Consider the following 16,329-nt stretch of genomic DNA (forward strand, 5'->3'; position numbering starts at 1 on the left):
CTCTGCAGACTTAAATGTCCCTGTCTGACAGCTTTGAAGAGAGCAGTGGTTCTCCCAGCACGCAGCTGGAGATCTGAGAACGGGCAGACTGCCTCCTCAAGTGGGTCCCTGACCCCTGACCCCCGAGCAGCCTAACTGGGAGGCACCCCCCAGCAGGGGCACACTGACACCTCACACTGCAGGGTATTCCAACAGACCTGCAGCTGAGGGTCCTGTCTGTTAGAAGGAAAACTAACAAACAGAAAGGACATCCACACCGAAAACCCATCTGTACATCACCATCATCAAAGACCAAAAGTAGATAAAACCACAAAGATGGGGAAAAAACAGAACAGAAAAACTGGAAACTCTAAAACGCAGAGCGCCTCTCCTCCTCCAAAGGAACGCAGTTCCTCACCAGCAACGGAACAAAGCTGGATGGAGAATGATTTTGACGAGCTGAGAGAAGAAGGCTTCAGACGATCAGATTACTCTGAGCTACGGGAGGACATTCAAACCAAAGGCAAAGAAGTTGAAAACTTTGAAAAAAATTTAGAAGAATGTATAACTAGAATAACCAATACAGAGAAGTGCTTAAAGGAGCTGATGGAGCTGAAAACCAAGGCTCGAGAACTACGTGAAGAATGCAGAAGCCTCAGGAGCCGATGCGATCAACTGGAAGAAAGGGTATCAGCAATGGAAGATGAAATGAATGAAATGAAGCAAGAAGGGAAGTTTAGAGAAAAAAGAATAAAAAGAAAGGAGCAAAGCCTCCAAGAAATATGGGACTATGTGAAAAGACCAAATCTACGTCTGATTGGTGTACCTGAAAGTGATGGGGAGAATGGAACCAAGTTGGAAAACACTCTGCAGGATATTATCCAGGAGAACTTCCCCAATCTAGCAAGGCAGGCCAATGTTCAGATTCAGGAAATACAGAGAACGCCACAAAGATACTCCTCGAGAAGAGCAACTCCAAGACACATAATTGTCAGATTCACCAAAGTTGAAATGAAGGAAAAAATGTTAAGGGCAGCCAGAGAGAAGGGTCGGGTTACCCTCAAAGGGAAGCCCATCAGACTAACAGCGGATCTCTCGGCAGAAACCCTACAAGCCAGAAGAGAGTGGGGGCCAATATTCAACATTCTTAAAGAAAAGAATTTTCAACCCAGAATTTCATATCCAGCCAAGCTAAGCTTCATAAGTGAAGGAGAAATAAAATACTTTACAGACAAGCAAATGCTGAGAGATTTTGTCACCACCAGGCCTGCCCTAAAAGAACTCCTGAAGGAAGTGCTAAACATGGAAAGGAACAACCGGTACCAGCCGCTGCAAAATCATGCCAAAATGTAAAGAACATCGAGACTAGGAAGAAACTGCATCAACTAATGAGCAAAATCACCAGCTAACATCATAATGACAGGATCAAATTCACACATAACAATATTAACTTTAAATGTAAATGGACTAAATTCTCCAATTAAAAGACACAGACTGGCAAATTGGATAAAGAGTCAAGACCCATCAGTGTGCTGTATTCAGGAAACCCATCTCACGTGCAGAGACACACATAGGCTCAAAATAAAAGGATGGAGGAAGATCTACCAAGCAAATGGAAAACAAAAAAAGGCAGGGGTTGCAATCCTAGTCTCTGATAAAACAGACTTTAAACCAACAAAGATCAAAAGAGACAAAGAAGGCCATTACATGATGGTAAAGGGATCAATTCAACAAGAGGAGCTAACTATCCTAAATATATATGCACCCAATACAGGAGCACCCAGATTCATAAAGCAAGTCCTGAGTGACCTACAAAGAGACTTAGACTCCCACACATTAATAATGGGAGACTTTAACACCCCACTGTCAACATTAGACAGATCAACGAGACAGAAAGTCAACAAGGATACCCAGGAATTGAACTCAGCTCTGCACCAAGCAGACCTAATAGACATCTACAGAACTCTCCACCCCAAATCAACAGAATATACATTTTTTTCAGCACCACACCACACCTATTCCAAAATTGACCACATAGTTGGAAGTAAAACTCTCCTCAGCAAATGTAAAAGAACAGAAATTATAACAAACTATCTCTCAGACCACAGTGCAATGAAACTAGAACTCAGGATTAAGAATCTCACTCAAAGCCGCTCAACTACATGGAAACTGAACAACCTGCTCCTGAATGACTACTGGGTACATAACGAAATGAAGGCAGAAATAAAGATGTTCTTTGAAACCAATGAGAACAAAGACACAACATACCAGAATCTCTGGGACGCATTCAAAGCAGTGTGTAGAGGGAAATTTATAGCACTAAATGCCCACAAGAGAAAGCAGGAAAGATCCAAAATTGACACCCTAACATCACAATTAAAAGAACTAGAAAAGCAAGAGCAAACACATTCAAAAGCTAGCAGAAGGCAAGAAATAACTAAAATCAGAGCAGAACTGAAGGAAATAGAGACACAAAAAACCCTTCAAAAAATCAATGAATCCAGGAGCTGGTTTTTTGAAAGGATCAACAAAATTGATAGACCGCTAGCAAGACTAATAAAGAGAAAAAGAGAGAAGAATCAAATAGACACAATAAAAAATGATAAAGGGGATATCACCACTGATCCCACAGAAATACAAACTACCATCAGAGAATACTACAAACACCTCTACACAAATAAACTAGAAAATCTAGAAGAAATGAATACATTCCTCAACACATACACCCTCCCAAGACTAAACCAGGAAGAAGTTGAATCTCTGAATAGACCAATAACAGGAGCTGAAATTGTGGCAATAATCAATAGTTTACCAACCAAAAAGAGTCCAGGACCAGATGGATTCACAGCCGAATTCTACCAGAGGTACAAGGAGGAACTGGTACCATTCCTTCTGAAACTATTCCAATCAACAGAAAAAGAGGGAATCCTCCCTAACTCATTTTATGAGGCCAGCATCATTCTGATACCAAAGCCGGGCAGAGACACAACCAAAAAAGAGAATTTTAGACCAATATCCTTGATGAACATTGATGCAAAAATCCTCAATAAAATACTGGCAAACCGAATCCAGCAGCACATCCAAAAGCTTATCCACCATGATCAAGTGGGCTTCATCCCTGGGATGCAAGGCTGGTTCAATATACGCAAATCAATAAATGTAATCCAGCATATAAACAGAGCCAAAGACAAAAACCACATGATTATCTCAATAGATGCAGAAAAAGACTTTGACAAAATTCAACAACCCTTCATGCTAAAAACTCTCAATAAATTAGGTATTGATGGGACGTATTTCAAAATAATAAGAGCTATCTATGACAAACCCACAGCCAATATCATACTGAATGGGCAAAAACTGGAAGCATTCCCTTTGAAAACTGGCACAAGACAGGGATGCCCTCTCTCACCGCTCCTATTCAACATAGTGTTGGAAGTTCTGGCCAGGGCAATCAGGCAGGAGAAGAAAATAAAAGGTATTCAATTAGGAAAAGAGGAAGTCAAATTGTCCCTGTTTGCAGATGACATGATTGTTTATCTAGAAATCCCCATCGTCTCAGCCCAAAATCTCCTTAAGCTGATAAGCAACTTCAGCAAAGTCTCAGGATACAAAATCAATGTACAAAAATCACAAGCATTCTTATACACCAACAACAGACAAACAGAGAGCCAAATCATGAGTGAACTCCCATTCACAATTGCTTCAAAGAGAATAAAAAACCTAGGAATCCAACTTACAAGGGATGTGAAGGACCTCTTCAAGGAGAACTACAAACCACTGCTCAATGAAATAAAAGAGGATACAAACAAATGGAAGAAAATTCCATGCTCATGGGTAGGAAGAATCAATATCTTGAAAATGGCCATACTGCCCAAGGTAATTTACAGATTCAATGCCATCCCCATCAAGCTACCAATGACTTTCTTCACAGAATTGGAAAAAACTACTTTAAAGTTCATATGGAACCAAAAAAGAGCCCGCATCGCCAAGTCAATCCTAAGCCAAAAGAACAAAGCTGGAGGCATCACACTACCTGACTTCAAACTATACTACAAGGCTACAGTAACCAAAACAGCATGGTACTTGTACCAAAACAGAGATATAGATCAATGGAACAGAACAGAGCCCTCAGAAATAACGCCGCATACCTACAACTATCTGATCTTTGACAAACCTGAGAAAAACAAGCAATGGGGAAAGGATTCCCTATTTAATAAATGGTGCTGGGAAAACTGGCTAGCCATATGTAGAAAGCTGAAACTGGATCCCTTCCTTACACTTTATACAAAAATCAATTCAAGATGGATTAAAGATTTAAACGTTAGACCCAAAAGCATAAAAACCCTAGAAGAAAACCTAGGCATTACCATTCAGGACATAGGCGTGGGCAAGGACTTCATGTCCAAAACACCAAAACCAATGGCAACAAAAGCCAAAATTGACAAATGGGATCTATTTAAACTAAAGAGCTTCTGCACAGCAAAAGAAACTACCATCAGAGTGAACAGGCAACCTACAACATGGGAGAAAATTTTCGCAACCTACTCGTCTGACAAAGGGCTAATATCCAGAATCTACAATGAACTCAAACAAATTTACAAGAAAAAAACAAACAACCCCATCAAAAAGTGGGCGAAGGACATGAACAGACACTTCTCAAAAGAAGACATTTATGCAGCCAAAAAACACATGAAAAAATGCTCATCATCACTGGCCATCAGAGAAATGCAAATCAAAACCACTATGAGATATCATCTCACACCAGTTAGAATGGCAATCATTAAAAAGTCAGGAAACAACAGATGCTGGAGAGGATGTGGAGAAATAGGAACACTTTTACACTGTTGGTGGGACTGTAAACTAGTTCAACCATTGTGGAAGTCAGTGTGGCGATTCCTCAGGGATCTAGAACTAGAAATACCATTTGACCCAGCCATCCCATTACTGGGTATATACCCAAATGACTATAAATCATGCTGCTATAAAGACACATGCACACGTATGTTTATTGCGGCATTATTCACAATAGCAAAGACTTGGAACCAACCCAAATGTCCAACAATGATAGACTGGATTAAGAAAATGTGGCACATATACACCATGGAATACTATGCAGCCATAAAAAATGATGAGTTCATGTCCTTTGTAGGGACATGGATGAAACTGGAAACCATCATTCTCAGTAAACTATTGCAAGAACAAAAAACCAAACACCGCATATTCTCACTCATAGGTGGGAATTGAACAATGAGATCACATGGACACAGGAAGGGGAATATCACACTCTGGGGACTGTTGTGGGGTGGGGGGAGGGGGGAGGGATAGCATTGGGAGATATACCTAATGCTAGATGACGAGTTAGTGGGTGCAGCGCACCAGCATGGCACATGTATACATATGTAACTAACCTGCACAATGTACACATGTACCCTAAAACTTAAAGTATAATAAAAAAAAAAAAAAAAACAAAGCTAGAAACCAGAGATGGTCCTAGATGAAATTAAGTAACCAAATTCTTTTAGGAAATACCTTAACCTTCCCTCCACTTTGTCCTCTTTCTAAATTCTTATTCCCCAACTCCCACCCCAAAGGAACTATTGACCTCTTCAGCCCTGTGACTTGTCAGGTTTTCTGATTGTAACTGCTCATCGGAGCCACTGAATCCTCCCTACTAGGATTTTCCTTTTTCCCATCACTTCTACCTTCTTTATTGTAGACCCTCTGTTTTCTGATGAAATAGCAAGCTAATGAGTTGTCCCTTTAAAATGTAAGCTAGATCTTGGCACTATACTACTTAAATTCTATAGTTTTAAGTACCTGTAGTGGCTTTCATCTCACTTAGAGAAATAGCCAAAGTCCTTGAAGGCTCTACACAGTCTAGCCCTGAAGACTTGTCTGACCTTATCACCCACTGTGTCTCTCTTGGGCTTTGGCACACACCATTCCTTTGTCCTAGACTGCTTTTCCCTAAGAAGCCCAAATTGTTGGTTCCCTCACCTCCTCCATGTTATTACCTCTTGGTGGAGTGACATTAGTTCACTGAACAACTAAAAATTAAATGTTCTTGCTCAGTCAACCCTATAGTCACCATATCACTTAATGGCTTATTTTTCTCAATAGTATTTATCTCCATATGATGTTTATATATTTAATTTATATTTTCTTCTTATTATTTGTCTACTCCTTTCCCTAATAACACCCAGTAAGTAAGCACTATTAGAGTAAAAAAAAAAAAAAAAAAAAAGAACAAAACAAAACTTGCTGTCGATGTTGCTTCTTTGTCACTCCCCAGCATCTAAAATAGTCATTGAAACATAATAAAAGCTCAGTAGATGTTTACTGAATAATGAATGGCCCTTAAACAAATGACAGACAAATAGATCTCTTTCTATAGAACAGCATAAATGACCAAAGGATGATACTCAAATTCCCTAAAAAAAAAAAAAAAAAAGGAGTCACTGGTGTTCAGCGTAGAGGCCGACAGAATATGATGATACGATAAGGTAGAGGTAAGTCTGTTAGAAGCCAAAGCCATCTATAAGCTGGGGATATGAGGAAGCAGAAAATAAAGAAACAGAGGAAGCCAGTCAGCAGAAAGACCTGGAATAAATATGCCCCAAGGAATTTTAGCATCAAAATCAAAGGTGAGCATGATGTCCATGAGTGGCACAAGGAGGGTGGTCAGTCCCTAGTTTGCTACTTTATTAAAAAAAAAAAAGTCACTTCAGTTAGACTTGATTTTTACTACCAGAAAGTTATAGATAGGACCACCGTGCTGGTATTTGATGGCTTAAGATGTCACCTCTCCTTGGTATCATATATTGTGCAGGTGTCTTTTGTAAAATAAATTTGTTCCCCAAACTGATGCATCTCTAGTCAAGAGGGTTTCAGATAGTGTGTTGAGCTGATGGGGAAGAGACTGTTTTGATTCCCTAGTCTGTTAACCCTTCCAAGTTATCTATCCAAACCAATCTTGGGCTATCTTGTAGAGCCAGTTCAAGTTGGGATTTAAATTACAGTGCAGTCTAAAAATTGCTCCTTTGACTGTGTAAACAAAACTAATAAGAGAAAGAAAAATGCAGAATCTGAATATGAATGGAGCATTGGCCGGAGTTAGAGGAGATTAAATAAGGAAAGCATAGAGCAAAATGACCTGGACCCAAGTAACAGCTTCACCCTTTGGCCTGAGCATGCTTTCTCTGGCTCTCCACAGGTCACACTTCTTACTACCTACTGTCTCCTTGAATAAGAGGTCATTTACTATTGTACTTATGCTTTCATTTTCCTTCAGGTGAAATATTTCTTGGTATCCTTGTTGCAAATAACTATAGGCAAAAGAGAAGACTAAGATGACTATGGTTCTATTACATATGACCCAACTTACTTATCGAGGTTACCTACCAGTGTAGGAATTTTTGTTTGCAACCCATGATCACCTTCACTGTCTCTCTACATAGCTATGAAGAAATTACTACTCTCAGGTTTAGTGATTCATCTAAATTGATGTAAACAAATTTTAAGAAATGTATCAGGCTACATATGACTGGCTTTCACTGACCATGTTAATACAGAGAGTGAAGAGATTTAAATTAATATTTTATTCAACAAAAGATTTAAGGACTCTGGTTTACCATGTATAAAATCTATTCAGCCAATCTCCTTGACATAGGACTCAAGTATTCCCTGTAGCTCTGCTAAACTGACTGGAAACATGACAAAGCATCTAAATTCTGCAGGTATCGCCATTCCTAGCAACCAATTTGATTTTTGATGGACAAAGAGCCCCAGGAAAATAGATGCCCTTATACCTGAGAAAAAAGAAATCCCAAGCAAGATAGACATACTCTAATCAGTATGCTGTGGATATGACAGCATGCAAGTGAGTGATCTATTTTGTTCTGAACTCTGGCTCTGTCAATGACAACACACGATTTACTAGAACAAATCAAATAAGTGCATTTGACTCCCATTTTGACATTTCAAAACAGTTAAGCCATATCTCCTTATGCAGCAAATATATTCATATTTTTAATTTTTACTTTTTCTTATAAGACACTGTTGTCAGAATGAGAATGAAAATAACGACTTAGGGTAGAATAGTTTTCAATGCTTTCCAACATTATGGGGAGAATAATTTCTGCATGGATATGATAATGTGGTTCAAAAATTTACAGCCCCCCCAAATGACTTTGAGACTTTGACTATGCAATCAGCAGCCAAATATTTCAATGCTTCATTGCTCCTGTTCCTGTTACAGGTACATGTGACAGCGTTGCAGCTATGAGTGGAATTTTAAAGGGGAAGTTTGAAGAAGTCAACGGCTCCTCACCCTGCTCTTCAGTGCAGGAATCAGATGATGAAGTTTTCAGCTGTGACAGTACTGAGAGTGTTGATAGTGTCAATCGTTCAGTTTTAATGATTTTACCAGTGAGTATCTAAAACTCTGTTTCAGTTGTGCTCTAAATTGTGTTGCATGGGCCACTCTTGGGGGCTTTAGCTTAATTCACTGGCTTGTATCTGCTCTTAAATTCTTCCTCATATCAAAATATTTGTAAAACATGACATAATTTTGGTTAATTAAACTTCAGCAGTATACTTCTTCTCATTTCTATGGAGTGAGTATGTAGGAGGCAGAAATGAGTCCAATCGGAGGTAAGCAGACAGCAACTGGAAATAATTTAATGAGTGTCTTCAGCTTGCTGAAATAAATCTATCTTTTGAAATCTAATCAGTTAAGCCATTTTGAACGTCTATAGATTGGTCAATGAGTTACACAATATTTACAGTGCTGAGTGTAACACATTTACTTCCTAGATGAGAAAATGATGTTTCTTTTTTAAAAGATTGCTTATGTGAAATCAAGGCCTTGAAAGCCTTGAGATCCTATAGTTGTTTGGACACAGTTAAAACTCAGACTCAAGGCCAAGTTCATGCTCTTGAGTAAGGGCAGCTTTCTTCATGTATATACTTCTCCCAAGCAGTTCATGTGAATAATACCATCTAGCTTAGTATGATATGTTCTAACTTAAAAGTCTACTCATTTTCAAATGGCAATCCTTGTAAAAGATGCACATATGAAGGTTGTGAAATAGGTGATCCTTTTCCAACAGCTCTGTGCTTATTCAGCCTCAATTATTAAGGGAAAAGGAATCTCAAAATTATATTTCAGAAGAGTTAACATGCAAAGCAAAAGTAAATGAAGTGAAAGCCCCTTACCTTCACCCACCCCTCATGAGATGATAGGTGTAAACTTCCTTTTAACTTTGTATTCCACGAGTAAAGGTAAAAATTATTCAACATAAAAGAGTATCATTCAAGAGAGGCTGTTTTCACAATAGTTTTTTTCTAGCATTATTTTTCTGGGGTATTTGTATTTGGGGAGTTTAAACTCACCAAAACAGCCTTAATGGGTGTAGCAAGCCGATATGGCACATGTATACCTATGTAACAAACCTGCATGTCGTACACATTTACCCCAGAACTTAAAGTATAATTTTAAAAAAATTACACTAAAGTTCATCCCATGTAGTTCTGTGACCCGAGATCCTATTTTTAATCCTCCTCCCTCTCCCCCAGGATTCAAAATTTTATTTGGTATTCATAATTCTCCATCACTGTTAGAATAATTTTGAATAAAAATGTTTATCTCTTGACTGCAGTAGAACCTATTTTATTTGGAACTTTTAGAAAGTATTAAAAAAGTGAGGAGGAGATAAAAACACTTGCGAGAAGGGAAAACACAAGAGCTGTTCTGAGGATATGATTCTCCAGTTACGTGGAAAAGTTATGGCCAGAGAGTAGAATTTCAGAAGATAGGTTTTGTTTGGGATTTATCTAAAGCCTTTTCACACCTCCCTCCAAGTGACTGTAACCTTGTAGATGGCACTGATATTGCCTTTCCTACTGAGCCATTATCTAAAACGCCTAGAAGAGTACTGAGCACTGGATGATGCTTGCAGTTTTTTATTGAGTGAATGAATTATTTTCTGACAAATCTTAAAAGCTGGAGAGAATGAGTCCACTGGATATTCTTACCCTTAGACAAGCAATAGTACATATTTACATTCAAGACCCTTGGGAGCACTCTATTCATACCCTTTCTGTGTACTTGGGAGAGCTCTTCTTTTTCAAATCCTAGAGCACTGCAGGAGTTACCTACTATTTCTCAATCTTTTTTTTCCTTTAGCCGCTCCTAAAAATCATCATCAGTTTAAAACCCTATACCTTTGAGATGCTTCCTCATCTAGCAGTGCAGTGCAGTGTTTTCCACACCCCCGTGATTTTGTTTTTTTAAATCGCCAGCATGCTTACAACCTCCTAGGTGTCTATGACTTTCCTAAAGTTACAAATTGGCTCTCTCCTGGAAAAATCAATTGCAGGACTTCTCTATGCAAGACACTTATTGATTTCTATAGCTTGTAAGTTCACAAAGTACCTACAATGTTCATTTAAACACCATCAAGCCTTACAATTATGGCTCTAGATGCTTTCCAGATGAAAGTGATGTTCTGGTTGTTTAGGGAGGTTTGAAAAATTATAGGTCAGGCAGTTGTTCTGAGCACCTGAACAGTTTCCTGGAAGGTTAACAGTATAGTGGAGAGTGGTTTTATTTTTTAATAACTATTTTGACGTGTGGTTTTAACTGCTCCACTCCACCACCATTACTCTAGTCTGGAAAGGAGAAAACACATACATATCCACTGTGGTCAGAGGAGAATACTTAAGCTATTGAAGAAGGCAGCTGCAAAGTTGATGAGTTTTTTTCCCCCCTGTAGTGCTGTTGATGTACTTTTCTTTGTGAATTTTCAAGAGTTTTGAAGGAAACATTTGTTGATACTCCTCTGGAAGGGAATGGTGATAGGCATCATTGAACAACTTGTAATTGAGTGTGTAATCAGAACCATGACTTGAGATAAACAGTGGGGAGGAAGGATAAAGAATAAATGGCAATATGACCTACGGGAGACTATCTATCACTATGGGTTACTCTTAGCCTGATCACAAAGACAAATCTTTATTAATTATTTTATAAAGTTGGGCAAATTGAAGAAGAAAACCCATGTTAGTGTTTTTAAGAAGATCGAATGCTGTCTATATAACTGAGACAAAAACTAACAGTAAAGAGTCAAACCTCATTTTGAATTCAAAGACTATGAGAACTAGTAGGACCTTTGAGAGTGTCTAGGGTGACTCCCTTATTTTGCAGATGTGGAGACTAAGGTCTAGGAAGAGTAATTTGACAAGAATCAAAATGTGAGCTGGTGGCAGAGGACTTTAATGTAGATCCCTAGAGTCTACCTCTCTACCAGACCACACAGCTCTCTGATGGTTCAGTTACAAGCCTGGCTACTAAGTAGAGGGACACAAATCAAGTCAAAGATATGGCTGTAGCTTATATGCCAGCATCTCTTATAAATAGAATGAATCTATCTTTTGGTAAATGTAACTGGCTTCTCATTTCTTATTGCCTTTTTGTGGCTTTAGGGCAGTGCTAGTGATGAGTTTATGAACAAATTCAATGAGCTAAATGAAATAGTGGGCCGAGAATTCAATTTGAGTGTGAAAGAACATTTTACTTCCCCTTTCTGTAAGTAAGTGACAGGGCAGATTGTTGAGACTTTCCTTGTATGTCACTGACATTGATGGAAATATCTTACAGCAAACATGTTGTTTTACATTTACATGAAGGAAATCGGTTTGTCTTGGTGACATAATGCTGCTTGTGATAACGTGAAAATGTTACAATGAAAAGTAGGTGAGATGAAGTATGCAGTGTGAATCTTTAACAGCAGCTAACAAATCAAGGGTTAGTTCATTTACTTTAAAGGTAAAACCTTTGTATATTCCACTTTTGCCAGATGGATGCCTGGACTCCCTGAAAAAAAGATAATATCTTTCTATCTCTTGAACTCCAGGATCTTGCATTACTTGTTCAATAATTCAAGAATTCAGAAACCCACTTACCCTGCATTTCAATTTGACTCACTTAGTCGCAGCTTCTGACTAAATGGAGTAATTATATTCAACTTTACTGGCTAGGGACAGAGTTGGATTTTATATTTGCTTGTTTGTTTTAATTCCCAACAAACTTCATTTAAATTTGGCTTTAAACTCAAAAGCACAATTGGACCAAACTTCAAATAAAATTTTATTTATCTATAACAATGAATCTAGAAAAACAACAATCACTGTGGTTTTAACTCTCAAGTAGCTGTCATGAAAAACTAAATATAAAGTTAGTCCTGGTGATGTTAATGGTGCTGTCGCTCACATCGTTTGAAGGATATGGCTTTATTAGCATGAGATCCAAAATACATCATAGAAAACCTCCAAATTTCCCACATCTATTATTTACTCAGGATGTTCATAGGTGGAATTGATACTGTAGCTACATTTCATAAAGAGCACAAGAATTAAAGTTGCTATTAAATATTAAAGATACCATCTTCACATTAGTGATCAAAACATTTTCATCTGACAGTGTAATTTATTTACAAATAAATCTTAGAGTGTTCGTATTTTATAAACCTCTTGTTAGAGAATCACATCCTTACTTTGGGTCCATCTAGCAGTGGTCACAGGCAATACATAAATGATTGCCCAACTGTAAAATATCATGGCTTGAAAAATGCATCCAAACAAATTTAGGTAATTAAAATTCTACTAACCATCTTCAAAGTACCATCATCTTCTAGCTTTGGTTTGAATACCAGAGATTGACTTGCTTTATACTTGCTGTTTATGACGGTGATGATGAAATCTGCGCCTGAAGCAAATGTCCTTGTGTTTCTCAAAAGATTTTGAAATTCACTTTGCAGATCAGGCAGTCTGATGCTTTCTGACAGCTTGGGGGAAGAGTATTTGTGTGCAAGTGAATGCAGGAAGGAATTAAACATGGTTCTGCTTAAAAGAAAAAAAGAGAGAGAGACAGTTGGTGCGATTTCTAAATAGGCTGCAATAATATTTAATCCTTTCACTCTGGGAAGTGCATGTTTGTATATAAAAAGAAATCCTTCTTTTTTGTTTAAGGAATTTGTAAATACGCTGGGAATGTTTTAGGGCCACAGAATTATTGTACCATATGTTTTATATGTTCGGCTACAGTGATCTTGCAGGAACTAGAATAGTTAAGTAAGTCTCAAAAATACTGAATTCCATTGAGAACTGGACTAAGGTTAAAAGCATAGTTTTTAAATGTAAGGAAGAAAGAGCAATCAGAATAAATATAACAAAACCAAAAAGATAACTTGCTTTTCAACCAAAAACCAGCACATAAAAACTTGGAAAAACATCTTTTTAATGACATTTAATTTTCAGATAGAAAACTATTTGCAGTGAGTTAAAATTACAATGGACTCTCGGTTTGTTGCATTTGCCTTCATCTCACAAATATTATAATAAGGGAGTAGTAGTAAAGACTGAGTTATATAATTTACAGTTCTAGACATTTGAATAAAATTTTATGAAACTTGATTTATATAGTGAACTCTTAAGTCTCTTTACAATCCTTAATGTACAACTGCAACAGACTTAGCATCACCAAAAAAAAAAAAAACAGGAAAGAAAACACCAAAAACTCAAACTCAATTGAAACAATTTTCAAAAGCAACATGCAAGCTGGTAAAGATTGCTAGATAGAGTGCTAAAAGCACTAGATGTTTCCATGGTGAGACCCAGTCTGTGGTGGGTCCCATTAATTGTGTCATGTAGATATGCAAAATACGTAAACTGTTACATATTTTTATGCCATTGGATTATAATGTTGGTGGAAATATCATGTGAGATGGAAAATGCACATATTTTACTTACAATTCATATAAATAAGGAATATATACATATGTATATATGTATATGTATACATACATATATGTATATGCGTATATGTATATATGTATACATATATGTATACATATATATATACACACACACACACACACACGTGTATATATATATATATATATATTTTGAGACGGAGTCTCCCTCTGTCATTCAGGCTGGAGTGCAGTGGCACCATCTTGCATTCTTGGCTCACTGCAACCTCCACCTCCCGGGCTCAAGTGATTCTCCTGCCTCAGCCTTCTGAGTAGCTGGGATTACAGGCATGTGCCACTACGCCCGGCTAATTTTTGTATTTTTAGTATAGACGGGGTTTCACTATGTTAGCCAGGCTGGTCTTGAACTCCTGACCTCAGGTAATCCTCCCACCTAGGCCTCTCAAAGTGCGAGGATTACAGGCGTGAACCACCGTGCCTGGCCATTATTTATATTTGATCTTGAAATTTGTTCTAATGCCTACAACTCCCACATTTTTGAAAATGTATATACTTTAAATTTATCAGAGGCTAGGGTATTTAATTCCATCTTTGAGAACCTTGGTTTGGAATAAATCATGGAAAGTAATATTATATATAATTTTTCCAACATAGCCTGTCCTATTTTATGATTTCCTCCAAAGATGCTGTCCATTATCTTCTTGCTCTGTCAGATCCAACTTTCTGCTGTTTGCTGTTTCTATGACAACCATCATTTTGGCTTGGAGAGATTAGTACATATTCTGGATATATATACATTTATAGATATATATTTCAAGAACTCTTTACTTGCCAAAAGAATTGATTAGGCTTCCCATTATAGTGGTCATTAATCAGTTATAATGAAATGCTATGCTAAGATCATGGTTACATAAGACAGATGTCATACTTTTGGCTTAGATTTTTATAAATAGGCATAAAGCTAGAGAGGCTGCAAAAGGAAACCTAGGGAGTTAAGTTAACTGAGTAATTCATGAACATTAATAAGAAAAGTTATGTGTTTTTAAAATGCCCTTCAATGTCTGATAAACAAATGTTTCATTGAAAAATTGAAGAATGGAGTCCAAAAAGGATAAACACAGCCTACATTAACATTATCATTTTCAACAGAGTAGCTCTTCTGTAGTAGCTTTGTAGTGAGAGTATGGAAATGGTTGGAATTTATAATTACAATTATTTTAAGCTCCTTGATGGCAGGACCTTTGTCCTATATTTCCCCCACATTGCTGAATGGGAGTAATCAGAATAGCGAGTGTTATTGAGCAGTTTATGATTTGGCAGGCATTGTGCTGAATGCTTTAAACAAATTATCTCATTTAATTCTCCTTACTTTAGTTGCTAAATATGTTTATTTTTGATTGGTATGTTCATGACTTTTTACTAAAAAAGATTCAATTGATGAAATGTTTTCTTCATCTTAAGTATAACGTGAGTCAACTGAAATAGGCCAATTGTATAGCAATTATTAAGATTGTTAAATACAATTAGGGTCTCCTTCAACAGGTCCAGATTTATTGAAAAAAAGTTTTCATATCAGATGTTCATGAAGATTCCAATTTATGCATACACTATTGCCAGTCTGAACTAGGTAACTTCCCAAACTCCTCATATAGTTTCATTAACCTTTAAATTTATTACTAAATCAGAATTCAGCGTTCTCATTTATTAGTAAATTAGAACATTGAAATATTTAGAGCTGACGTATTTAATATTTCTTTGTTTCTTTAAAAAGCTGAAATGTAGAAAAAAGTTTTAGCTTTGAGGATGATTTTTACGGTATTTTTTCTTATGGTGAAAAAGTATACAGAACCTACATACTATGCAATTAGTTGAATAATCTTTGGAAAATCCACATAATTAATTATTATATAATCAACAAAAACAGCTGAACAAATGTATCTACTGACATAAAAATATATTCACATTTATAAAGAAGTTTGCAAAATTATATTAATTTCATCAATGTTTATAAAATCTTAAATACGTGGTATAATAAGATCCAGAAGGAAAAAGAAAAACACACATTTTCTATAGATGGTAATATTCAAAAAGTAGTAGAATTCTGGGTGTTTTTAAAAATCTCTATATATTTTCACAATTTGTATTTATATGCTTTATCCTAACTAGATCTATTTTGTTATTATAATTGTTTTCTAGAATTTTCCACCAATATGATTATTGCTGTTTATGACTTACTTGTAGATTAATCTTAGAGCAAATCTCTAAAGGTGGAAATCATAGTTAAAAGGGTATTGTTTTTAATTGCCCTCCAGAAGACTTTACCAATGTATATGCCCACTTCTAATAAGTGAGTGCATATTTCCTCAACACCTTACCAAACACCTTACCAAAACTAGTTAGGTATTTTCTCTCTGTCTGTCTTCTGTCTGTCTAAATCTCTCTCTCTCCCCCACCTGCCACCGGCTCCCTCTCTCTCTCTTCCCCTGTCTCTCTCTCTCTCTCTGTGTATATATAAATACGTTCATATATGCACACATTATAGACCCACACACATACATACATAGATTAATATGATTAG

At 36.9% G+C, this 16,329-nt stretch overlaps 1 protein-coding gene across 3 annotated transcripts in view; it reads left to right on the plus strand.

The window, feature by feature from the left end:
• The window catches only part of CSRNP3 (cysteine and serine rich nuclear protein 3), a 219,710-nt gene that overhangs the window by 16,825 nt on the left and 186,556 nt on the right, over positions 1-16,329 (plus strand). For all 3 annotated transcript variants that reach the window (XM_047445908.1, XM_024453155.2, NM_001172173.2), the window contains one exon: positions 8,237-8,406. The gene's annotated coding sequence lies outside the window, so the exon portion shown is untranslated. The remainder of the gene's footprint in view (positions 1-8,236; positions 8,407-16,329) is intronic.

Source organism: Homo sapiens, chromosome 2 (assembly GCF_000001405.40).
Source record: "Homo sapiens chromosome 2, GRCh38.p14 Primary Assembly".
NCBI classification, from domain to species: domain Eukaryota; kingdom Metazoa; phylum Chordata; class Mammalia; order Primates; family Hominidae; genus Homo; species Homo sapiens.